This window comes from Homo sapiens, chromosome 6 (assembly GCF_000001405.40).
Source record: "Homo sapiens chromosome 6, GRCh38.p14 Primary Assembly".
In the NCBI taxonomy this organism is placed as follows: Eukaryota; Metazoa; Chordata; class Mammalia; order Primates; family Hominidae; genus Homo; species Homo sapiens.
Window position 1 is genome coordinate 165384660 of NC_000006.12, and position 26438 is coordinate 165411097.

Below are 26438 nucleotides of genomic sequence, written 5' to 3' on the forward strand. Positions count from 1 at the left end.
GTGTGTGTGTATGGGGGGGGGCGACTAAAGGTTAGCTTTTCAAGTCTATTGTATTATTCTCCTTGCTTGCTGTTGTCACTGTGTTAGCCAGCAGTACTCTTCTGAATGCCCTGCTTATCCAGTAGATACCACTGGCAGCCATAGTGAAAGCTGGCACTCAGGTTGGCAAAACTATAATAAGCAGCCACATATGCAACACACACCTGTGAAGATGCCTGATGAGGAACTATTTCCAACCATCATACACAAAATTGCTTACGTCCTATCTGTCTGTGTGGCCAGAGGATGGGCAGCGCCATGCTCGTAATCATCTGTGTGGCAATGCAGATCAAGAAAGCAATGGGAAAAGTCTTTTGTGGATAAACAGAAGTATCACAGGTATTCATATTATGAAACTATATATTGTTCTTATTTTAATGACTGGAAGTTGGAATTTTTAACTGTTACCCAAGGATAGCATCTTAATTAGTCAAGCTTGTAGGTGTCTTTTGATGAAACATAAAATCAGCAGGACTTGGTGGTAACAGGATGGAGGGATGGGAAGATAAAGCTAAAGAAGGGAAAAATGATGACTCTAAGGTCATCAGCCTGCATTCCTGGGTCAATGAGATTGCCACCACAGAGATATAAAATACAAAAGGCACCTAAATAAGTATAATACCAAGCACAATTCGGGCATACTGAATACAGGGTTCAACTGCTTGGGCAGAAGTCCTATTGAGCACTAGGCAGAATTACATGGGTACGAGAGTCCTCAGGGCACCACTGTCAGAGCCACAGGTGTGCCAGGTGGTGGGCCAATGAGAAGAACAACATAAGGGCAGAAGTCAGGGGACTCAGGCCTTCCTCACTCTGACGGTGAGTTCCAGAGGACAGGGATTTGTGGTTGCTCTGTTTATCACTATATCCCCAGTGCCTAAAACAGTTGTTGGCAAATAGAAGGTGCTCAGTAAGTATGTTTGTTATTAAATTGGATTTCAGGGACCAGTTAGATGAATCCAAAAAAACACTCAGAGAAGTATCATGAGGATTACTGCAAAATCAGCCAAGTGTACAGAAATTTTCCGAAGAGGAAGACACTCTTCCCTGAATGTTCCTGCCCATGTAGATTGGGTTGTCTGTTTATGGCCCCAATATTATTTCTCTCTGGGCGTAGCTCAAATTGAAGGGATTTGGTCAATCGAACATATAAATTTGTTTTCAAACTGGCAGTGCTTTTCATCTGAATTCGCAGCAATCCCTAATCCTTATTCCCAGCTTCTGTTTTTGCAATGTACCTAGCACCTTATCTTCTCTACGCAGAACAAATTTGTCATTATTATTAATTCACCAATGACTGAAATTCCAGCTCTAATATCTGAACCTATTCTCCCATGCCTTTTTGAATGCCAACAGCTTACCTGTCTGAACTTAACTTACTGCCATGAGCTCCTGTTACTAGTTCTGATCTGTTTTTAGGAACACCGCCTTAAGTAATCTGCAAGCCCCACATCGCGGAGGGTTTGCCAAAATGGAGGCAAACCACCCTAAACCTCCATTTTTGATGGCAGCAACTGGGCCAAGTCTTCCTAGGGTTTAGGTGGACCTGGAGCTTCACCATCCCCACCTGCCTTGATGTGACTGCTATATTACAAGGTTTATTTATTATTCTGCTCAGGGGCAATAAACTTTGCAATCTGGCCTCCTTCAAAACTAATCCTATTATATTTAATACAGCCTTTCTAAAGAAACTCTATATTGGCTATTAAAATTCAGCTGTGATTAAACTGCTAGCAATGTTGTACTGTCAAATGCATGAATTCATTTAGGGCATGGGATGCTAATTCAGTGACTCCTAATTATTTTTAAGTGAAGTCATCCTGATGTTGTTTCTGGCGTTTATTCTTCTTAAACAAACAAATAGTCTCCAATGATGAATGAGGTCAAAGTAGACATTAGCTGTCATAAAGTTTTAGAATGTTCATCCATTTACAAAAAAGCATGTTTTACATATATGTGTAAATATATGTACACATACATATACACACAAGCCTTTTATCCTGCTTAAATTTCTATGTATGCAGCCAGGCGCGGTGGCTCACGCCTGTAATCCCAGCACTTTGGGAGGCTGAGGCGGGCGGATCACAAGGTCAGGAGATTGAGACCATTCTGGCTAACACAATGAAACCCCAGCTCTACTAAAAAAAAAAAAAATACAAAAAAAAAAATTAGCCGGGCATGGTGGTGGGCTCCTGTAGTTCCAGCTACTTGGGAGGCTGAGGCAGGAGAATGGCGTGAATCCAGGAGGCGGGGCGTGCAGTGAGCCCAGATCGCGCCACTGCACTCCAGCCTGGGCGACACAGCGAGACTCTGTCTCAAAAAAAAAATTTCTATGTATGCTTGTTTTATGCCGGTATGTATGTATCTATGTAAACATATGTCATTTAAAAAGGAAAGAGCTGGTGTCAAGCAAATGATAGGAATGATGACTACATGTTGCTTTCACGACCAAACTGAACCATGAGCAAGCTCAACATCAGCTACCTACTGGGGATGGCTTGAAAATGACTCAAATAGCTCCATATCTGAAACACTTTTCACTTCTACCCAGAAGATAATTCGAAGAGCACCCACAATAGAGTAAGTTCATCATTTACCTTCGTAGGCCTGAGGACATGAGACCTGGACAGGTCAGTTTTGCTGGGTTTTAAAAAGGACTGAGCAGGCAGCACTACCAATCACGTGGACAGTTAAATGAGGAGGCACTAAGAGAAGCCTTTGGGAAACTGAGGGGAGAAAAAAAAATCCTGGCATTTAGAGGAGGCCTGGCCTATTCAACAGAGAAAAACTGCACCAAGTGGCAAAAGCTTTTCTGCTTCGCAACTTGCCTATGGCCAGTTACTGGCAGAGTCACTGCTGGCATTTTGCTGTGACATCCTAAAAACTCAAAACCTTTTCCCTTAGACACATCATTGGAAGACCTAACGAGGATTTCTCTTCCTACTTAGAGGTGCTGACAGTGAGAGGAAAATATAGGGCCCACTATACTTAAGCCAAACCCAGATTATATTTTTAAACATTGTTTGTGATAGGAATCAAGTCACTATGATGTAATAGCTACCTTGATAAGATGAGTTTGAGAAAAATCATTTAAGAAAGAAGGAGCGTATATATCCCATGTTGAAGTGATGTCTGTGATTGTCTACATCAATTACCAAGAACATCTTAAAGACAATAAAATAAATAAACAAAACATACAGTGTAAAAAAAGAAAGGCTACAATGCATTTAAAACCTTATATTTAGCTAACTTTTAAGATTTGCTGTTCAATATCTTCTTGTTCAAGAATATGATAATCTATATAATTAATTGATTTAAACTATGTAAAATAAGTATTGCTTTAGGGTTACAGGTACTTACTGATATAATGTTTAAAAAACAAATGTGATTGCAAAATACATATATTCAAATTATTTGTAAAGGATTCTTTATGCAAAAAACACTATTATTTAATGATGACTATAAATATAAGGTTCTACAATAAAAAGTAGCTGTTGCTTTTAAGGAAGCCATAATGATCTTCCTTTTCCACCTATGAAGTATCCCTATCTCCCAGACAGCCCTTCAGACTAAGCGAGAGACGGCGTGCAGTGACTCACCTGGAGGATGGACACAGTCTGGGAGAAGTGGTGCTGCTCCATGGTGGAAGTGGAGTAGAGAGCGGCCAGAGGGTGGTCGAACTTCTGCAGGTAGCTGTTACTGAAGCCCCTGTGGTCCAGGTCATGACACAGACACGCAATCAGCAGTCCTTTGCGCTTTAAAAAATAATATGATGCAGAGATGCTCAAAACACAGAAACACACATGAGCAGACTTACCGCTTACATTCATGTCACATTACTTTCTGGCATTAATATAGCACAAATACAGCATTCTGGCATAAAGAATCCTATACAAATAGAGCAAACCCTTAGGAATCTTGGAAATTCCAGATAATCTAACTCATTTGTAGGCCCTTTCTTTGTTTCTCTGCTTAGGAATCTGATAGTCAAATTATTTTTGAGTTTCTCTCTCAACTCTAGGAAAAGGTGCAGGAGGTATCAACTTAAAGGTATAAAGCAAATGTTCCAAAAAAGTACAGATAAAGCAAATCTGCACAAGGAAAGAAAGGTCAGTTTCAGCAAAATCTATTCAATGTTAAATTCTAACAATGCTATTGCTATTATAAACAATAAATATAACAGGTAAATCATATCGCATGTAAAAATGGCAAATATATAGAAAAAAAGGCAGAGCAGGCTAAAGGAAATTAGAGAAAGTCAGGCTGAGTATGAAATAAACTAGGCAGGCACACCTCATGAAAAGGCCAGGTGTGAGCAAAGACCCGAAACAGGGTAAGGAGAGCGGCAAGCGCAGTGTGGGAGAAGAGCACGCCGGGCAGGGGAGCAGTAACAACATAAACTTGAAGGCGAGTGTGCCCTGAGACTCGGAGGATCAGGACGGTGGCCAGTGGGGTCGAGGGCAGGGGAAGCAGTCATCATAAAAGGCTTATATTCTCAGTGATCTGGGGAACTATTATTACACGGTTTTTAGCAGAGCAGTGTTACCATCTTGCTTATATATTTACAAGATTATTCTGGCAACTGTGTGGAAAACAGACTCCAGGAGGATGAGAGATCAGTGAGGAGGTTTCTAAAGTAATTGAGGCAAAATGTAATAGAGCTTTAGACCAGGATAATAACAGTGAAAGCTTCTATGGGGTGATTAAAGTCTGGATGCATTTTGCAGGCAGAACCAACAGGATTTTTTGACTGTCAGAGTGTGAAAAGAAAGGACATGAGGAGGGGTCAAGTATGACCTCAAATGTTTTGGCCTTAGAAGCTATAATGATTACCATCAACTGATATGGAAGGACTGCAGGTGGAATGGGTTTGAGGAGGGAGGTCAGGAGCTCACATTTAGACTGAGGCGAAGGAGTCTACTTGATAGTCAAGTGGAGATTTGACAAGTGGAGATTTTGTTTTGACAGGTAGCAGCTACTGAAGCCTCACGGCCTGGAGATAGGCCTTTGCTAGAGAAATGAAACTGTCAGTGCCCATGTGGCGTTTAAGGCCACATGACTGGCTGAGCTCACCAAGGTTGTAGTTTGAGGTTGGAGGAGGGTCAAGGTCTAAGCTCTCAAGTACTCCCAATTCTAAAATAAATCATCCAGCAATTAAATACTTGATAAATTAAATACTTGATAAAAATTGAAGGGAAGAAAGAACTCTATAGGTTAAATCCTATTACAACACATTTCATATGACAGTTTCTATTCTTTCATGAAGGGATTTTGAGTGGAATTCAGGTTATGCCAAACATTGCTTGAAAAGACTGAAGTGTTTAAAGAATATTGACTCAATGTGTTAGTAACAATCACAATCACAATTTTTATTTTGAAAGACAAATTATACCTGAAAAGGGGGAACAGACTGCATGGTCTAAGTCTGAGGAAAGAGAAGGATTAAGAAAAAAACAACAAAACAAAAACAAACAAACAAAAAACCCCAAGGGAGGAACAGCTGGTGCATTCGCAGGAAAACCAAGAGTGCCGAATGTCCCGGGATTCGATTGAAGACACTGAGCACTAACCCTTGGATCTCGCAAGGTGTGGGTCACTGGTGACCTGGAGCAGGGCATTTTCTGGGGTGTTAAGGTCAGAAGCTTGATCAGAGTTGTTTTCAGAAAGAATGCGAGGAGAGGATTTTGAAAGAGTCAATAGGGTAATGCTTACATGGGGTTTACTGCAAAGAAGAGCAAAGTAACAGGGAGGGAGCTGAGAAGAGCGGCAGATCGGAGCATATTCTAAGATGGAAGTAAAAAACTGCATGCGTACATGCAGATGGCAATGATCCAGAAAAGAGGGGTGAAAGCATGATAATGGAGGAGAGAGAAGAGTGGGAAGCACTGGTAGGCAGTGTTCTCCAAGAGGTGGAGGCGACAGATACAATAAAGCAGAAGGGTCAGCTCTGGAGAGGAGTGTGAAGGTTTAAGGAAGTGTGCAAGGCAGAGCCTGCTGAGGGCAGATGCAGACAGATGGGGGTGCTGCGATGGGAGTCAGCAGAAGTTCTCACAGGTACATTTTTAGCGATATGCCTGCTTCTTTGTCCTGATAATGCTGAACTGGTTTTTCCCGCCACATAATTGGAAGGGAAATCTCGCCAGTAACCCCTAACCCCATGAAGTATCATGTTAACAATCATACTCGCCTGGCATTCTTAAGATAACTGAATTAATTATGTTGTTAGTATCATTTTGTTTTGGGGTGGTTTCCATGTTATATGCTGCTGTGTCATCATGATGTACCTGATAAGAAATCTCAAGAGTTTTACAATCTTGCACAATACGTAAAAGTTATCATCTTTCCAGTTTCTAAACTCATTTTTAAAATTCATGTGACTTTCAGTAGTTTTATTAAAGGTGTGCCAGAATCATACATCTGAAAATAATGTATAAAGAATCACCCTTGTTAAGCATTTCCCTTTAACAAGATCAAATGGTAACTTCTAACAGTTCTTTTAGAGATTAAATTTCTTCTTTATAAAATATGTTTTAAATATTTACATGTCATTTTGGGGATTATTTTTCAGCCAAAACGATCTGATGTTTTGGGAAAATGTAATGATATAATTCCAAAAATGAATTAGGAACTTAAATGAGAGTCAATATGTATCAACAAAGTTTTTCTCACTTATTGTTAAATTTTCAATTTTTTTGAATATAAATTACAATGCAACTTGAAAGTATAATTTCTACAGTTCTTAAACTCACAAGGTATGGCAAAATGGCAAAACAAGACAATGAAATTGCTTTCTTAAAAGGAACAGAATGGAGAAAATGCTGAAAGTCTCAACAGTATGGGGTTCAATAGAAAAGGACTTTGTTAAGACAAACAAATGAAAAAAGGAGAGATTTCATGTGGATCTTTCGCGGGGAGGTGATAAATAATAAATTACTGATCAGGCTAAACTCCACTTGAACTAAAGATTGTTTTAAAAAAAGCAACAAAAACTAGAGGATAATTTTTTATTCTTTCTTAAAATGCTACTATTTTTTTCCTAGAATGCATCTTTTGAGTTTTCCACTCAGATTGTGAATTTGGTCCAATAGGATGGAAAAGGATAGGATGGACCTTCACAAGTACTAGATTCTAGTTTAAATGTGAATTTGAGAAAAGCACAATTTATTTATCACAAAGATGACAGCTCCTTTCTCTGGACAGTCATAGGTCCCCTAAAAGATGATACCAGTTTTTACAGAGGAGAGAAAGGAGGACTCCCTCTAAGGTGTCAGTAGATACTACCAGGATCAATGTGGTCAGAGGGAGGGATATCCTTCAAAGTCGGGATTGTCCAGATGTAGAATCAGCATCCTTTGTGGCCAGGAGTCACTAAGCATTTAGCCTGGCTTTCAAGTAAGGGACTTTGACTGTGGTTGATGAATGGAAGTGGCCATCTCCAATTCTAACTCTGAGATTACGAAAGCTTTGGATATGTCACTAACTCTGGGTATTTAAAGTCAGGCAAATTAATTAAACATTTCAGATCCTTTAGTTTCCTTATGCTAGAGGAGGTCAAAAACACTTATGTCTTCACAGTATTGAATGCTCTAGGTTCTCAAATAGGCAGGATACGTCTACATTATCCAGGGCATATAAGCAATGAATAAAATTCACTGTTTATATCCCTTCAGAACATTTAAGCTTTAACAGGTAAGACAGACTACAAAATTAGTATTTCCTTGGGGGATATTTTGATGAAGTTAAAATTTCTTTTATCTACATTTCTTATACAAAATAATATGCTAAATGTTTGGGTACAAGAGTCTAAAAATGGGCTACTATTGATTTATTAAGCCAAAATTTGTCTTGGAATAACATGTCACAAATCCATGTCATCAATGTGCTCCTGACACACAGTATTAAATCCACTGAGGTTACGAGAAACAGAGGTAAAGAGTGCACACCCACCTCAAGGTCTGTGAAAAGCGTGTGATTGTTCTGAAGTATGGCATACATGCAGTGTGCTACAGTGACCGCATGCTTCCAGTTGTGATAAGGAACCCGCCGATAGTTCTTCTTCACAGACATAATAAAACGACACAACTTTTCAAGCTCAAAGCTGCATGGAAAAGAAATTGTTATGACTGAAACCAGTAGAGAATCACTATGTTGTAGGAGAACTCCCTAGTTTAGGTACATATATGTCTGTACCCTTATACATTTGCAACTCTAAAGATTTCCACCCTGACTGAATCCATGAGCACTGGAAACTCATTCACCAGTTCCCTTCCAGTTCTCTAGCCAAAAAGAAGTAAGAGGATAAAGACTCTTTTATGGTATCTGTTGTGATACAGTAACTGTCCCACCAGCGAAAAAATATCAGTATTAGTACACAGTCACCCGTCACCAGCCCTCATGATCTTCTTTAGTTTTACGTTCATTTCCTAAACCCCACAGTGCTCAAAAGACAACAACACAGCACCATCTTGCTAAAGGGTATTTTGAGCTAATATTTTCCAAAAAGAATATTCAGACTTGCAAACTGCAAATATGTATATCATGAGACTTTTCTAGAGTTACTATACTTTCAAAGTAATTCCAAAGTATTAAGGTTTATTACACACTCAAATTATTAAGTCACAAATGAACATATCCAAATACTGACATAGTATATAAAATAATATGATGTATATTTTATTACATATAGTTATACTATATTTTTATATTTTTTATATTATGTACTTATTTAAGACCCTACAAACTCTCAAAATAGACTTGAGACAGCTTAAAACAAAAGCATATATAAAACAAGGCTTTCTAAAATACCAGGGAGGTCAAGAATTCATAAAAACTTAAAAAAAAAAGTAACCTGTGTTTTTCTCCACTGAAAATTTTCAAATGTCTTTGAAGTATAAGGTATGGCATTTTAAGAATTCCAACTGGTCAAACTCTCAACTGCATTCTGAGAATTAACTGGAGTTAGGTATCCTATGCTCATCCTTTTGAAACACTAATTTACAAAAAGTCACAGATAGAAAATACACAGGCTTCAAGAAGAATGACAATTTAGTTCTAGAGAAACTAAGAGGCTCTATAAGACATTTAATTCCTAAATGAGTAAAAAAGAGCAAAAGAAAACTATTCCTTGCATTTAAATATTGTGTGTTTACACTGAAAAGGATCAGTTATAAAGTCAGGAAAGGCCTCTAGGACAGGCCAAAGTGGGTGGGGAAAAGATCTGCAATGAAATGGTGCCATAATCAAATTACTGACAAAGTATCACACTTTGAATAAGAAGACATGTTTCTTTTCGATCTATTCTAATAGATATATGATGTTAGGTTGAAAGTTGATGCTAAATTTACACGTGGTGTTCTAAACATTTATTATTATTATTATTATTATTATACTTTAAGTTCTGGGGTCCACGTGCAGAACGTGCAGGTTTGTTACATAGGTATACACGTGCCATGATGGCTTGCTGCACCCATCAACCCTTCATCTACATTTGCTATTTCTCCTAATGCTATCCCTCCCTTAGCCTCCCATCCCCCAACAGGCCCCAGTGTGTGATGTTCCCCTCCCTGTGTCCATATGTTCTCACTGTTCAACTTCCACTTATAAGAGAGAACATGTTGTGTTTGGTTTTCTCTTCTTGTGTTAATATGCTGAGAATGATGGTTTCCAGCTTCATCCATGTCCCTGCAAAGGACATGAACTCATCCTTTTTTATGGCTGCATAGTATTCCATGGTGTGTATGTGCCACATTTTCTTTATCCAGTCTATCATTGATGGGCATTTGGGTTGGTTCCAAGTCTTTGCTATTATGAACAGTGCCACAATAAACATATGTGTGCACATGTCTTTATAGTAGAGTGATTTATAATCCTTTGGGTATATACCTAGTAATGGGATTGCTAGGTCAAATGGTATTTCTAGTTCTAGATCCTTGAGGAATCACCATACCGTTTTCTACAATGGTTGAACTAATTTACATTCCCACCAACAGTGTAAAAGCATTCCTATTTCTCCACATCCTCTCCAGCATCTGTTGTTTCCTGACTCTTTAATGATCGCCATTCTAACTGGCGTGAGATGGTGTCTCATTGTGGTTTTGATTTGCATTTCTCTAATGACCAGTGATGATGAGATTTTTTTCATATGTTTACTAGCTGTATAAAATTCTTGTCAGTAGTAACCCCTGTCTCTTTCAGTTACCCAGCTGAAAGAAACTCTAGCCTCTGTTTTTATGAAAGCTTTTCAGATTTTTTAACCAGGCTACAACCATGTTGCTAGAGCCCCTACAGAGAATCTGAAAAGGCTGCATATTTGTATAATAATCTCAGCCCTTTTTTATTGGAATATTTAGGAAAAAAAGTAATTTATACATGCAGTATTTAAAAATAATTACAAACAAAGATCGTGGTGAGGCATATATGTAGAAGGAGGAAGAGGTTATGTCACCCAATATTTCAAAAAGTAAATTTTAAAGTCATTCATACCAGGATGTCCCACAGGACCGATGAACCATGTAGACAAAAATTCCAGGCCACATGTTTTCAAAAGGACCAATGTCAAAGTGGAATCTGAAATTTTAAAAGGGCAGTTTATCACTAAACGTGATTAGAATAAACACAGTAAGTAAAGAAAAGCATTTAACTTGTTTGTACCAAGGAGCTAAAAAGACACTGGGAGCTCAGCCATCCCTTTTCCTGCCTTCTTAGCCACATAGCTGTTACTGAAAGATTTCCAGGAAGAAACTAAACATATTGCCTTAGAAATCTAGTCCAATATTTGAGTTATTGATTTTCTATTAATCTGTTTGAAAATGATGCTTCATTTGTTGTCAGAGAAATAAAAAGTACAAAAAGGTATATTACAAATATTAGATAAATATACAATCATAGAAAAGGGGGGAAAAGCCTTTTCAGAAGTATTTTTGGAGTTGAAACTGTTCTATCTCCTATTTTAACTGAGATAACAATTTCACTAATATAAACACCAGAGTTATTACCTATTTTTCATTTGCTAATTTAGTTACCAACATTAGACTTGAATAAACAGTATGGTATAATATATACTATAATTTCAATTGTAAGGTAAATATTAGCTCTAAGTCACTTCTGAAGGTTTCCTATGTAGATAGTGTTGGCTTACACTTACAATAAACATACAAATTATCATAGGCCCTACCCTCTAGTAACTTAAATATATTAACATAGGGTTAAAAAATACAGTATGAGAGTCAAACTATGACAAAATTCTTGAATTTAATTTGGAAGTTTAAATTTATATGGAAATGAGAACTGTTTGATATCTTCTGTTAAATGCCATTTTGAGTGTTAAATATTAAATGGTATAAAGTATGCAACAGACTAATGAGAAATGCTAACATTTAGGTTAACTCATTTCAAAACTGAGTTCAGATTTTCTTTTTTAAGGTAATGAGATCTGGCCTTTATTTCCAAATCCTATCATAATATCTGGAATCACTTCAGAAGCAGACAATGGCAACACATGAAACTCCACATGTAATATGTGTATAATAATTGTGACTCTAATTCTATAATCTGTCTCACTTTAAGTTCAATTCAATTAAAAATGGTTCCTGAAGAAACTGACAGAGCAACATACTTACAATTCAATTTCTTTGCAGAGACGCACGGGAAGGGTGAATTGCATGAGACCTTGCCACTCTTCTGAAGTACAAATGCTATGGTAGGACAGCTTTTCCATCGTTACCCGGTAAATGCACTCTGAGTGGCGAATTCTATGATACATCTAGAAGGCAAATCCAAAAAAAAAACCCCCAAAATTAAAAGAATATTTAAACTGTTTTGTCACGGAAGTTCAGAATTTGGTATTAAAGAATCAGAACTAGAATTAAAACCAAAGTGGATTTATTATTATCCGTATTTCCATATGCACTGGGATGTGCAGACATGACTTTGCAGATTCAAAAGAAATGCTTTTTTTAAAAAATGGTATCTCTGCTTTACAAATTTTTATCAGACATTATCTCTGGGTGATGAGATTACTTGGCATTTGTCTTCCTTAAAATGCTCTGTATTTCCGCATTTTTAAATAAAAATTAAACACATTTTATTATCAGAAAATGAATATTTGTACTTTTAAAGATCATCGTAAGATCTAAGGTATTTCTCAATCTGTTACAACAAAACCTTTAATTATTGCATTTCACCTGCACATCAAATTCATCTTCCTTGGGAAGGTTTTATCATCATTACCTTCTCTGGTTTTTAGTCTTGACTGTATATTGTTACTGTTCTTAACAGGACTGAATTTGGGGTGTTATTGGTGTTCCAGCAATGAACTCAAATGAGTAACACAGGTTTGCATTCGTCAGTCATAGACTGTGTCTACAGAGTAAGTATATAAATTGGTAATTACATTAATCGAAAATGGATAGGTACATTTTGCCATCCTGTTAAGTTGAAATCTTGTGTATCTGTATCTGTGTGCAAATGTTTTACAAATAATTATAAATTAATATGTGAGATAAAACAAAAACATGCAGTGGAGCCAAAGGAATGGATCAATATTTATACTTGTGAATTATTAAATAGGTGAGATTAATTAGGAACTGTCTAAAGTAAATTAATACTGAAAACGTGGTGACAAGCTAGAGTAGCTTTTGTAACATTTTGCATTTTTAAAATAACATTTTCTAAAGGATAGTTCACCATCTATAGGTAAGACTATCCAGTCTACATAAAAATATAAATGAAGGCTGGGCAAGGTCACTCACCCTTGTAATCCCAGCACTTTTGGACACCCAGGTAGGTGGATCATCTGAGGTCAGGAGTTCAAGACCAGCCTGGCCAACATGGCAAAACCCTGTCTCTACTAAAAAATAGAAAAATCAGCTGGGTGCACGCCTGTATCTCAGCTACTTGGGAGGCTGAGACAGGAGAATCGCTTGAACCTGGGAGGTAGTGATTGCAGTGAGCCAAGATGGCGCCATTGCACTCTAGCCTGGGCGACAACGGTGAAACTCCATCTCAAAAAAAAAAAAAAAAAAAAAGAATGAAGCTAAATGGGTCAAGAGTAAAGATACTTTCTTTATTTCACAATTTAAAAATATTTAGCTTCCTTCTTGGTGATCTCAAAGTCCTCTTGGTCTAGAGGTTACTAAAATGTTTGATTGTGAAAACCTTATCAGTAAACAAATTGTGGCAATGCAAACCCAATGAATGAATACACAGTAATTATGTGCACACAAACTGTGTTCATGTATTATTTACATACATAGAAATCAGAAACATTAAAATTAAGTGGGTATATTTTTAAATATTTTACTTACTAAATAAGTCTTTGTTCTTACTAAAAAATTACATATTTTTAAATGAAAGTACTATATTTAAATGTTATTAATCATCAAATGCTTTATTTAATACTTTTGGAGATAATGATCTAAGGGATGGTTCACTTTAATTTATTTCAGTATTTAGATTTTCAGTTATACTGTTTGAGAAACATATTCCTTAAGAAGTATGTCGATCCAAATGGAATAAAGTTTGTATTGGCTGTGGCTAATGCCTGTAATCCCAGCACTTTGGGAGGCAGAGGCAGGCAGCAAGACTAGGCTGGCCAACATGGCGAAACCCTGTCTCTACTAAAAACACAGAAAAATTAGCCAGGCACGGTGGCACACACCTGTAATCCTAGCTACTGGGGAGGCTGAGGCATGAGAATCATTTGAACCAGGGAGGCAAGAGGTGGAGGTTTCAGTGAGCAAAGATTGCACTACTACACTTCAGCCTGGGCGATAGAGCAAGACTCTCTCTCTCTCTCTCTCTCAAAAAAAAAAAAAAGGTTGTATTGGCTGTTCTTAAACATTACACTTATATTTTTGTTTCCTAACTACTAATATGTTTGGTTGAAATTCAAATGCATTTCCTTTGTTCTTTATGTCAATCAGTTGACCCTGCAAACTAATCAGCCACATTTTTATATATTACCAATATGGGTTCAAAATCAATGAAAACTCTTTGTGGAGAAGATTTCTATCAGTTAAAACCTGCTTCATATAACAAAATCATTAAAATTCAATTTTAAAGGTAGAGAGAAAAAAAGGGGGAATAAAGAACAGATTAAACACATAGAAAACAAATGGCAAGATGGTAGATTTACACCTAAACGTAAAATGTGAATGGTCTAAACATCATGACTAGAAGTCAAAGACTGTCAGATTGAATAAAAAAGTATCAGCCAACTATATACTGCTTACAAGAATTCTACTCGAACTATAAAGACATAGAGTAAAATTAAAATGATGGAAAAGATATACTGTTTAATACCAGTCAAAAGAAAGTTACGACTTTATTAATAATAACAGGCTAGGTTGATTTCAGAACAAAGATTATTACTAGAAATAAAGAAAATCATTTCAAATAACAAAAGGGTCAGGTCATCACAAGGATATAACAACCCTAAGTATTACACTACCTAATAAGATAGTTTTGGTATACATGAAGCAAACAACGACAGAACTGCAAATAAAATAGACAAATAGAAAAATCCACAATTATAGTTAGAGATTTCACACCACCCTTTCAACTGAACTACTCATACATCAACCCAATCAAAATCCCAGTAGGCTTTTCTATAGGAAATTAAAAGCTGATTCTATAATTTATATGGAAATTCAAAGGACCTAGAATAGCCAAAATAACTCTGAAAACAAAGAATAAAGGTAAAGAAATTATACTGCCCAAATCCAATACTTATTATAAAGGTTTTTTTATTATACTTTAAGTTTTAGGGTACATGTGCACAACGTGCAGGTTTGTTACATATGTATACATGTGCCATGTTGGTGTGCTGCACCCATCAACCCGTCATTTAACATTAGGTATATCTCCTAATGCTATCCCTCCCCCCTCCCCACAACAGGCCCCAGTGTGTGATGTTCCCCTTCCTGTGTCCATGTGTTCTCATTGTTCAATTCCCACCTATGAGTGAGAACATGTGGTGTTTGGTTTTCTGTCCTTGCGATAGTTTGCGGAGAATGATGGTTTCCAGCTTCATCCATGTCCCTACAAAGGACATGAACTCATCATTTTTTATGGCTGCATAGTATTCCATGGTGTATATGTGCCACATTTTCTTAATCTAGTCTATCACTGTTGGACATGTGGCTTGGTTCCAAGTCTCTGCTATTGTTAATAGTGCCGCAATAAACATACATGTGCATGTGTCTTTATAGCAGCATGATTTATAATCCTTTGGGTATATACCCAGTAATGGGATTGTTAAAGCAGTGTGGTAGTGGCATCAAGGGGCACAAACGGATCAGTGGAACTAAATACAGAAATAGGACCACACAGACGGTCAGCTGATTTTCAGCAAGGCTGCAAAGGCGAGGCCATAAGGAAAGGATAGTCGATTCAGCAAGTGGTGCTGCAACAACCAAATATCCAAGAGCAATATATAAACAAATAAATAAAAACTTTGACCCTTACCTTGTACCATATACAAATATTTACTTAAAATGAATATAGACTTAACTATAGAACCTAAAACTATAAAACTTCTAGAAAAAAAAAACAGAGGAGAAATGTCTTAACGACCTTAGGTTAGGCAAGTATTTCTTCAATACAATGTTAAACATCATAATAAAAGGATAAATTGATCAACTGGACTTCTTCAGAGTTTAAAACTTTTGCTCTTAGAAAGAAACCATTAAGAGAATGAAAAGACAAGCCAAAGACTGCGAGCAAATATTTACAAATAATCTATCTGATAAATGAAAATGACCTGTATCCAGAATATATAAAGAGCTACTAAAAATCAATAAGAAAACAAACCACCACAAACAAAAGATGGACAAAAGATGTGAAAAGACACTTCACCAAAGATGGTGTACAGATGACAAATGTAGAAGAACTGGAACACATGCTGTGATTTATGGAATGTAAAAGAGTACAGTCACTTTGGTAAACAGTTTGGCAGTCTCTTAAACAGTTACAGACCCCTCCCATGTTACCCACCACTGCACACATAAATCTTTACCCAAGCGAGATGAAAGTCTATGGCCACTTAAAGGCTTGTACACAGACCAACTGTTTGTTTGTAGCTTTAGTGTAATAGCCAAAAACTGGAAATCACTCAAAAATCTATCAACAAGTAAATAAATTAGTTATGGTATATCCATACAATAAACTACTACTAAGTAATAAAGAGGAATTAACTGTTTACGTACACAACACCAGCAATGAATCACAAAATTATGTTAAGTGAAAAAAGCCAAATAATACAGATTATATAATTCCCTTTATACAAAAGAATTTTAGAAACTGCAATTTATAGTGACAGAAAGCAAATCAATGGTCACCTGAAGATGAGAAGGGTCAAAAGAAAGGGATTACTAAGGCTATATTTATTATACTGATTATGTTGATGGTTTCATGGGTATGTGTGTATACTAAGTTGTACACTTTAAACAGTTGTACGTTATTGTGTATCAATAAACCTCAGTGAAACTATTTTAAAAGTTTCTGCTCTGTCTTTTTAAGGGTATAGATGTCATAATTTGTATACATGACATATAAATTTCAGCAAAAAAGTCACGTGACAATGAAAATACTGGCAAAGATCTGTTTTCAAAGTGCTCTCTTCACAGCATGAATTTCTTTGGAAACCAATTATTTTTTCATTCAGTGTTAATGTCACTGGCAACTTGAGGGTTCAGATTAAATGTTATTTCTCTGAATATATCTTCTAAATACTTTCATTTGTCATTAGAAGAAGTTAGCAAATTTGGAATCTTTGTCTTTTTGTGAAAGAAGCATGTATACCTAATTTATTAACTGAACAACTGTACCAAGCATTTTGCTGCAAACGGCAAATCTGTGGGTAGCACAAACGAAAACGCATGAACATTCTGAAATCATCTTCATAACCGTGATTTTTTTTCTAACTGATAAAATAATCTTCCTTAGTAAAGTTGAGAAAGAGCACAGATAGGTTTAGAAGCATAGGCTGGACACTGCTGTCACCTTTTCCTAGCTGCGCAAGGCCCACTCTGTGAGAGGAGACTGCTTCCTGGACAAGACATGACCTTCTAGTGCATGAACTTTCTGAAAGCTCCATCCATGTATTAACAATCAATAAAAAATTATTTAATATCATTTACCCAAAAACATATCAAGACCCAAGTTTTCACATTGTCCTCATATACCTTAATGGAATGTCACTTGCTTTCCACTTTAGAGATGATAGCGTAGATTCTGCTAGGAAAGTGAACAATCCACAGGATTTACTCAGTATTTACTGTAAATTGGTATTACCTGTAATACAGTGCAATTCTATGGTAAAGATGTTAGTAAGAGTAACTATACTAGGCAGTAAACTAACTGCTACTATAGTCACTAATTCTATTGAGCACTTGCGCCAGGAAGTATGCTAAGTGTTTTGTATGCATTACTTCATGTCTCACAAAACTTCTACAAGATAGTTATTCCTTTTATTGTCATTTTATATGTTTATGACCTAAAATTAGAATAAATTTTATTTCTATTATTTTTACAATTTTTGATATTAATATATTGAAAATACGTAAAAATTTAAATTAAAATTTTTAGTCATTTATTTTTATATTTGTAATCAGTGTAGGTAAATAACACTAATTACAAAATAAAATTAATTAAAATCACAGCACAAAATAATTAGTTTTAGAAAATTTATATTACTTCCCATTTTCTAAATGACCTTTAATATGAATAGTAGAAAATAATATAATCTAGGATTATTAGTAGATGATTTTATCATACTCATGCAAACTACTGATGAAGGTAGAAAACTATGTTGTCTTTTTAGGTGCATTTTGTATAAATTATTTGCCTATAACACTGCGTAAATAATCTTGGAGTCACTGTCCAAGTAGAAGAGAATTCTAGCAGAAAAAACTGCTGTTTGTCTAAAACTGAAATATATTTTGATGGCCTATCAGTCTTAGGCACGAGGATATTGAAAAGGTATATGTGCTCAAAAAACAAAACGATAAAGACAACCTGGAAACAGGACTGTAAGAGCATGTCTACCACACATTAAAAATACATCCATTCACATTTTATAAAATGGCATTCCTACTCAACTGGCATACAAAAATATTTAATTAGTGATTATTTAGAATGTTGTTATTGGGGCCTATTTACACAATAACCCTCATTACACTTAGAAATGACTGTGTCTATGAGACACCCTAATATTTGTAATTAATGTTCATAGTAAACCTAGAGTCACTTTAGGGTCGGGCAACTCTTAGAAATCTAAACTCTGGAATCATCTACTTGGAACAAATCTCTTGTCCATCATTTACTAATTGTATACATTTAGGCAAATCACTTAATTCTCTGTTCCCCAGGATCTCATCTGTAGCCTAAGGACACTGTAGTACTTAGCCAAGAATGTAACGTTCAATGGAATAACACGGGGAAAGGCTAAGGAAAAGCACTGGCCAGTGACTGTGAAGCTCTCAGCGCTATCAGCAACCGTTATCTTAGATGGGTATCAGCACTGTGTTGCCACATCATTTGGCTCTTTTGTTTGATTTTGGTGATAATCAACAAGAGAGTCTACTTTTCTGTTGTGGCAGTGGTGCACCGAACTGGCTTGCAAGAGCCAATTATGCACATTTCTTCCCAACTCTGCATTCATTATGGCGCATGGGTAGCTTGAAATTGTCCATATTGAGGGAATGTACGCCAGAGAAACAGGGAAACACACAAATCAGGACCCTTCTGTTTTTAGAGAGGTTGCTGTTAAACATTTACTGCACACCAACTGGTATTCTTTAAGATACAAGTAGTTTGACTTTGGGAACACTTGAGATATAATAATTGTTCTACTATTATAAATTGTGCACTCTTTTCCCCTATTTAATTTACATTTAAAATCGAATTGACAAAATACTTATTAAACTACATATTTTCTATATGTTTGTCAATAGCATTAAATAATATCATTAGTCAAATTAAATTGATTCTCTAAGCAAGTCCTAAAATCAAATACATACTCCACATACATACGGGGAACACTGAATAAGAGACCTGTAACCACCCTTCTACTCTACACTGTCATGAGATCTACTTTTTAGCTCCCATAAGTGAGTCAGACGTGTGATATTTGCCTTTTTGTGCCTGGATAATTTTATTTAACCTAACGACCTTCAGTTTCATCCATGCTGCTGCAAGTTACGCGATTTCATTCCTTTTTACGGCTGAATAATGTTCCATTGTGTATAATGTTGGTTAAGGGGTACAAAAATACAGTTGGATAAAAGGAATATGTTCTATTGTTTGATAGTACACTAGGAAAATTACACTTAATAATTTATTGTGTATTTCAAAATAGCTAGAAGATTCATAATGGTCTCAAAACAAAGAAAATATAAATATCTGAGGTGACAGATACCTCAGTCACACCGATATGATTACCACAGTCACAGGTATCCAACTATTCTACATACTCCCAAAATATGTACAACTATTATAAATCAATAAAAAGGAAATGCTGTGCTGTTTATTTCATAGCATAGAGCAGTGCTGCAGCCGACTAAAGAAATAACAGACCCATCGCAGGGTGTGGCTTGAGGCTCCCGGATGTGAAGGGAAGGTCCATGCAGGATGAGACTTCCCTGTGGCTGCATGAGGAGAGGAGCTGAACTGAGAACTCCATAAGCAAAAAAGAAGCCTTGTCTCTACTTGGGGCTATGGGTAGAAAATAAATAGTCTCCATCCATTGAGAATATGGAAATCAAGCCTGAACCATATGTAGTTGTAGTTTCCAAATTTATCCTAACATATTGCAGGAATTTCAAGCTAAAAACTTAACAGAAACAAAAACCTGGACCCAGATCACTGAAAGCCTGGGGCACATGGAAAACATTACATATATCTGAGCATGAGGGTCTCTCACAAGGGAGATAATTTGAGAGAAATTTGAGTAGGTAAACAAGTAAACGATGACCTGAAAAAAAATCTAAGAATGGAAAGATGAATAGATATTAGTACCCTCTACAAATTGAGCTAATGAAAAACACTTACTGAGAGATTTAAAATACACTGTTGCAAAAATACAGCATTTGGTATGTGACTTACCATGCTTGCACAACTATTCTAGTTTATGGAAACCACAGTACCAAAATGCAAAAACAAAACAAAACAAAACAAAAACCACAAGGATTTCTTTCTGTTTCTTTCTCAGTAGAGTTGTATCTTTGACCTAATCGTGGGTGGAAGTATTTAAAACACTTTCTTAAAGACAGGCCCAAGCACCTACTGTCTATGGCACCATAGAGAGTTCTTTCATGCTGAGGACTGCAAAGGTGACAATAGTTTCCTCTAACGTGTTTCAGTGGATTTGAAAGCACTGGGAACAAATTAAAAAAAAAATGTGTGTGTATTATGTTCCTGTGAAATAAGAGACAGCTGAATTCAGGAGAAAGTAGGGGCATTGGAAAAATGACTCTCTAGCTGTGTGCCCCAAATGCACCTCAGCGTATAGAAGACAACTGGTGTCCTAAGGTAGGAATACTGACTTCTCTCTTCCTCTGTAAGCTCAGAAGTTCCATCTTAGGGCAGACATAAAAGGTACCTCTATAGGCTCTTCCTTGCTATTTTCCAGTAAATAAATGAAGCAAATCAAATTTTAATGAAAAGCAACTTGGCCTGTGGAAACAACAAACCAGCTATATATTTAACAATGAATTGAAATTTTATAAAATTGGCTGCAATGATAATTCATAAAATATAATGACTAATGTGAAAACAAAGGATGCAACACTGACTGTCTACTATGGACTATGCACTGTTCTAAGAGTTTATTCATATGGACTACGCACTGTTCTAAGACTTTATTCACATATCTCATTTTGTCCTGACAATAATCCTGGGGAATAAGTATTGTTTCCGTTTATCTGTTGAGGGAACTAAGGCTCAAGAACATAAGCTGACTTCCCCAAGGTCAGAATGTTGGAAAGTAATAGATCAGGTTGTAAAATGCATGTCTGCTTGATTTTAAGTTTTGAATCCTACTACACACACATTGAGAACTCAAAAAGTAGGGAAAGAATGATTTGGAAGGGTGGAGGGCCTAGTGTCATAGCTGAAGGAGAGCTGCATCTACTGCAGAGCAGGCGCTTTTGGAAATGATACCTTTAAGGTCAAATAAAACTGGAAAATTGTCCTGTAGTCTGTGCCAAGGAATATTTCAAATATATAAACACAGGACATGAAACCACCTAGGATGTAGGGTCCATTAATTCTTAATCTGTACCTAGCATCTAGGAGTGATTAATGCTTATGTGTGGAACGAACAAATGTCCATGTCAGTTATAAATTTTATAACCTTATAACCAAAAGAAGAAAAAAAAAGACTGAACTCGGCTGAAATTAGTTATCTATAAACTTGTAGACTTGGAGAAGTATTAAACTTTTATTTTCATGTAACCCCAAAAATAATTCAGTTTAAGAATTGTTATTCATTAGTATCTAAGAGTATTCAAATTCAAGATGAGGGAAAAGGATGTGTGTGTGTGTGTGTGTGTGTGTGTGTGTGTTTCTGTGTGTGATCATGTCACCACTAACAGGAGATAGTTGAATTTTAGGAGATAACTTTGTGACTCAATGCACTGGTATAAGATGTATTTTTGATATTTCTTAGAAAACTTTTCTTGGGAATATACAATACTCTTAAGGCAATAGTTCATCATCTATAATTACAAATTTAATTTACATAATTCTCCTTGGAAGTATGTCCCAAGTGTTAAACTTTCTGTTAATCGATTCCAAACTCTTTCATGAACCCTATCCTTGCTCTACCATCTATATTACTTTATCGATGAAGTTTTGGGTTTTTTTCCTAAACTTTCCCCCTTCATTTCTGACAAAATTAACCTCACCGTCTTTGATGGTTAATTCTAAGTGTCAACTTGACTGGGTTAGAGGATGCTCGGATAGCAGGTAGAGCATGATTTCTGGGTGTTTCAGTGAGGGTATTTCTGGGAGACTGGTACTGGAATCAGTGCACTGAGTAGGGAAGACCTGCCCTTATCCAATGCAGTAGGGCACCATGCAACTGGCTGAGGACCCAGACAGAACAGAAAGGCAAAGGGAAGGCAAAGTGTCTCTCTGTTCTAAAGCTGGGACACCTACCCTGTCCTTGAACATCAGATCTCCAGGATCTCTGGCCTTTGGAGTTTAACTTGCACCAGCTGCACCCCAGCTTCTCAAGCCTTTGGCCTCTGACTCAGGGTTACACCATCAGCTTCCCTGGTTGTGAGGCTTTCAGACTTGGACTGAGCTATGCTACTGGCTTTCCTGGTTCTCCAGCTTGCAGATGGCCTATTGGGGGACTTTTTAGCTTCCATAATCATATGAACCAATTTCCCTCCTAAGTCCTCGCTCGTGTATCTATTCATCTATATATGTATCCTGTTGGTTCTGTTTCTCTGGAGAACCCTAATGCACCCTAATCCATATTTTATATATAAAATGTAAAAACACTTCGTAGTAATTGTCTTCCCTGTAGGCAACCTTAGGACCTTAGGGAAGAACGATGTCAGAGAGAAGCCAGCACACTTAGCGAGCACGGGGACCAGTCTGCATGCATTCAAACCCTGGCTCTATCACATACTTGCTATGTGCCCTTGGGGAAATTATTTAAATTCTATACATCCATTTTTTTTCTTATAAAACGTGGAGATAATAATAACCACACTCATGGTATTGTTGGGAGAACATACAAAAAGAGATTTCGTATGTAAAGTGTCTAGAACAATTCCTGTCACACAATAAAGCCTTATATCAAATAAGAGTTGTTCTTATCATAGTCATCTTTATATCCACCATCTGGTATAAAAAAGATAGGCAATACTTGGTGGTTGAATTCTGGAACGAATAAAGGTTCAACCACTTATTCAATTTGTCCCTAACCAACTAATTTCATTTTAATAGCAAATTTTGTTCATGCCCCTTTCATGTTAAATGTCTTTCTATCCAAAATGTACAGAGCTAATCTGTTTTAAAAGATTTATTTTTCTAAGCAAAAGATGTAACTGATACTACTGTCCTATTAGCTTTTCTAAGGCATATTAAATGGTTTCTTTAAAATCACAGTATAAATGAGTAAATTAATTGACTTGGATTTAAAAGATGTTTTCTGTTGATAGTACTTCCCAGTATGTTAGCTCAATAAATGAAAGAGAGATGCTGCCAATCAGAGACGTTCCCCTTTAATTAAATAAAAGGAATGTATTCAAGTATTTCTAAAGATGAAATAAAGGAAAATAAAAACATAATAAGCATTAACATGGCCTATGTGCCCTGCTTCTTAGATAGGCTCTTAATCAAACAAGACCACAATAAAATATGCCATTACATTATCATGTTCAGTATTAGAAACAAGAATTTTCATGTACAAAACATGCTTCTATTACGGACACAATAATTTGTTCAACAGCAGAAATACTCTGAATTCCCCAAGATCAACACAATTAAAATGACAATAACGGTCAACAATTAAAAAGCACTTCATGCTGCACAAAGATTTTTCATATTTATGATCTTGATCATTACTAATGTATGTTCTCTAGAAAGTAGAACATTCAGGAAAAGGTAGGGAACCCGCAGATGTGATTGTTTGGGACAACGCATAATACAAGGTGTTTTTCCTAATTTTCATATGATGCTTGGGAAAAAAATGCTCAAAACAGCAAAGCAAAATTGCTCAAGAACAACCGCAAGCATCTCGGTGCCACAGTGATGACCAGAATTTGGGTCTTGGTCATTGGCAGTAGTTCGTGGCATCAACCTTTTCAAGTGGGTAAGGTTCTAGGGATCCCACTATAAAGAAACGCGATGCTATCTTATTGAAACCAGCATACATTTGGAGCTATTTTCTTTTATTTTTTTATTTACATGGATGCTTTCTTCAACAAGGCAAAAAATATCATTGTAAAGAAGACATGTGAACTGGTCTTTCTGAATTGGAACAAAGTTTTGAAATAAACCCAGCCACCAGTCTTCATCAGACTGGAAGGCCAGGGAGAAGAGGGAAGAAGGAATCATTATGAAGCTGTGGACTCAAATCTCTTATTCCTTTTGAGTTGGAAAAACTTCAAAAATAATATAATTTTTATGAGCTTTAGTAAGGAGAAAAATATACTGCAGTTAAAAAATGGGGCAGGGCGCGGTGGCTCACACCTATAATCCCAGCACTTTGGGAGGCCGAGGCGGGCGGATCACGAGGTCAGGAGATCGAGACCACCCTGGCTAACACGGCGAAACCCCATCTCTACTAAAAATACAAAAAATTAGCTGGGTGTAGTGGCGGGTGCCTGTAGTCCCAGCTACTCGGGAGGCTGAGGCAGGAGAATGGCGTGAACCTGGGAGGAGGAGCTTGCAACAAGCCGAGATGGCACCACTGCACTCCAGCCTGGGCGACAGGGTGAGACTCCATCTCAAAAAAAAAAAAAAAAAAGAAAAAAGGTAATAAATTCCACAGAGAGCTTGCAGCTGCACTGAATATATTTTCAATGTATACCTTAAAGGTAATCAGCTTTGGCTGGGCGAGGTGGCTCACGCCTGTAATCCCAGCACTTTGGGAGGCCGAGGCAGGCGGATCACCTGACCTCAGGAGTTCGAGAATAGCCTGGCCAACGTGGTGAAACCCCATCTCTACTAAAAATACAAAAATTAGCCAGACATGGTAACGCATGCCTGTAATCCCAGCTACTGGGGAGCCTGAGGCTGGAGAATCGTTTAAACGCGGGAGGCGGAGGTTGCAGTGAGCCAAGATCACGTAATTGCGCTACAGCCTGGGTGACAAAGAGTGAAACTCCATCTCAGAAAGAAAAGGTGTCTACAGCCATACCACCCTGAACGCGCCCGATCTCGTCTGATCTCGGAAGCTAAGCAGGGTCGGGCCTGGTTAGTACTTGGATGGGAGAAAGAAAAGGTAACCAGCTTTGGTCCAGTGCGGGTGACTACTCGACAGAACTGCTGCTCCATATACTACTTGTCACTGTTGGAGAAAACCACTGTTGTGATGGGGTTTGAAGTGTTTAGAAAAATTATAATCATTTCCAATATCAACTAATACTAGTTATTTTACCAAAATTTTACCCTAAATAATTTAACTAAATAATCAATGTAAAAATGGAATGCCTATTAAAACTTTTCAGAAGTTTTTTTTTTTTTTTTCTGTGTGGTTTAATCATGATTAAATCCAGGTATTATGATACCACAATTAGTGACTTAGAAAAGCATTTGAACCTGCTAGTCTAGTTCTTAATTTATGTATTCTTGAAAGTATACAACAATATTTCAAGGGATACATGGACAAATGAATAAATTTTAAGATGATCAATTTCCATATTCTTAACTTTCACACATATTCTTACTCAAAATGACTTTTTCCCACATCCCATTTTGAAACAGCCCTGTTATCAAATTGCTGTAATACAAAGCGGCAATATAAAATGCTGGTATTAATGAGGGCTAATAAAGGTTTCTGAAACTTTCCTAAAATATTAAAGGTGAACTTCAGTAAATTCTCAACTGATAGCTCATTAAAATAATTTTTGGTGTCAGAATTATCAGTACTTTTTGGCATCTTAGCTCAGGTAGAATTAAGAGAAATTGTGATAATAAAACTTTATTAATGGAAGCAATTCTTACAGCTTCCTTAAAAAATAAGAGGGACAAGTTGGAATAAGATTGATGCTGAATAGGGAGAGCCAAATTTCTCACTGTAACAAAAAAAGTTCCGAAGATGAAAATGAGATGGCTAGAGCATTCTGTGGTATTAGACTGGAGGTTAGGTATCGTAGAGACAGAAAGAGACAGACAGAATGAACGGACGTAGAGATTTATGTATAAACTCTCTTCTAAAGAAGTCAGTGAGAAAGTGGGGGTAAGTTCCTGTGGAGAAACCTGCAGACAGGACCTTTCAAGTGCAGACGGTTAATAGGCTCAGTGACGAAGCACATGCCTGCTAACAGGATGCACTGAGGACACATCCGCACGTGAACTCATTGTCACAAATAAGACCTTCATATAATTGTGAGGAAACACCAGACAAATCCAAATTAAGAAATATCCTTGGCCGGGCGCGGTGGCTCACGCCTGTAATCCCAGCACTTTGGGAGGCCGAGGCGGGCGGATCACGAGGTCAGGAGATCGAGACCATCCTGGCTAACACGGTGAAACCCCGTCTCTACTAAAAATACAAAAAAATAGCCGGGCGTGGTGGCGGTGCCTGTAGTCCCAGCTACTCGGGAGGCTGAGGCAGGAGAATGGCGTGAACCCGGGAGGCGGAGCTTGCAGTGAGCCGAGACAGCGCCACTGCCCTCCAGCCTGGGCAACAGAGCGAGACTCCGCCTCAAAAAAAAAAA

General features: G+C 37.1%; 1 protein-coding gene and 1 pseudogene across 13 annotated transcripts in view; one reads left to right on the plus strand and one right to left on the minus strand.

The window, feature by feature from the left end:
* PDE10A (phosphodiesterase 10A) overlaps window positions 1-26438 on the minus strand; it is a 660764-nt gene that overhangs the window by 57371 nt on the left and 576955 nt on the right. For 12 of the 13 annotated variants that reach the window (XM_011535387.4, XM_017010194.3, NM_001385079.1 and 9 more), the window contains 4 exons: window positions 11658-11800; window positions 10522-10605; window positions 7987-8137; window positions 3639-3794 (listed from right to left, as the gene is read on the minus strand). In XM_011535387.4, the coding sequence (XP_011533689.2) occupies window positions 3639-3794; window positions 7987-8137; window positions 10522-10605; window positions 11658-11800 (534 nt within the window). The other variant, XM_017010197.3, reaches the window with a different exon arrangement.
* Window positions 24903-24992, plus strand: RNA5SP226 (RNA, 5S ribosomal pseudogene 226; annotated as a pseudogene).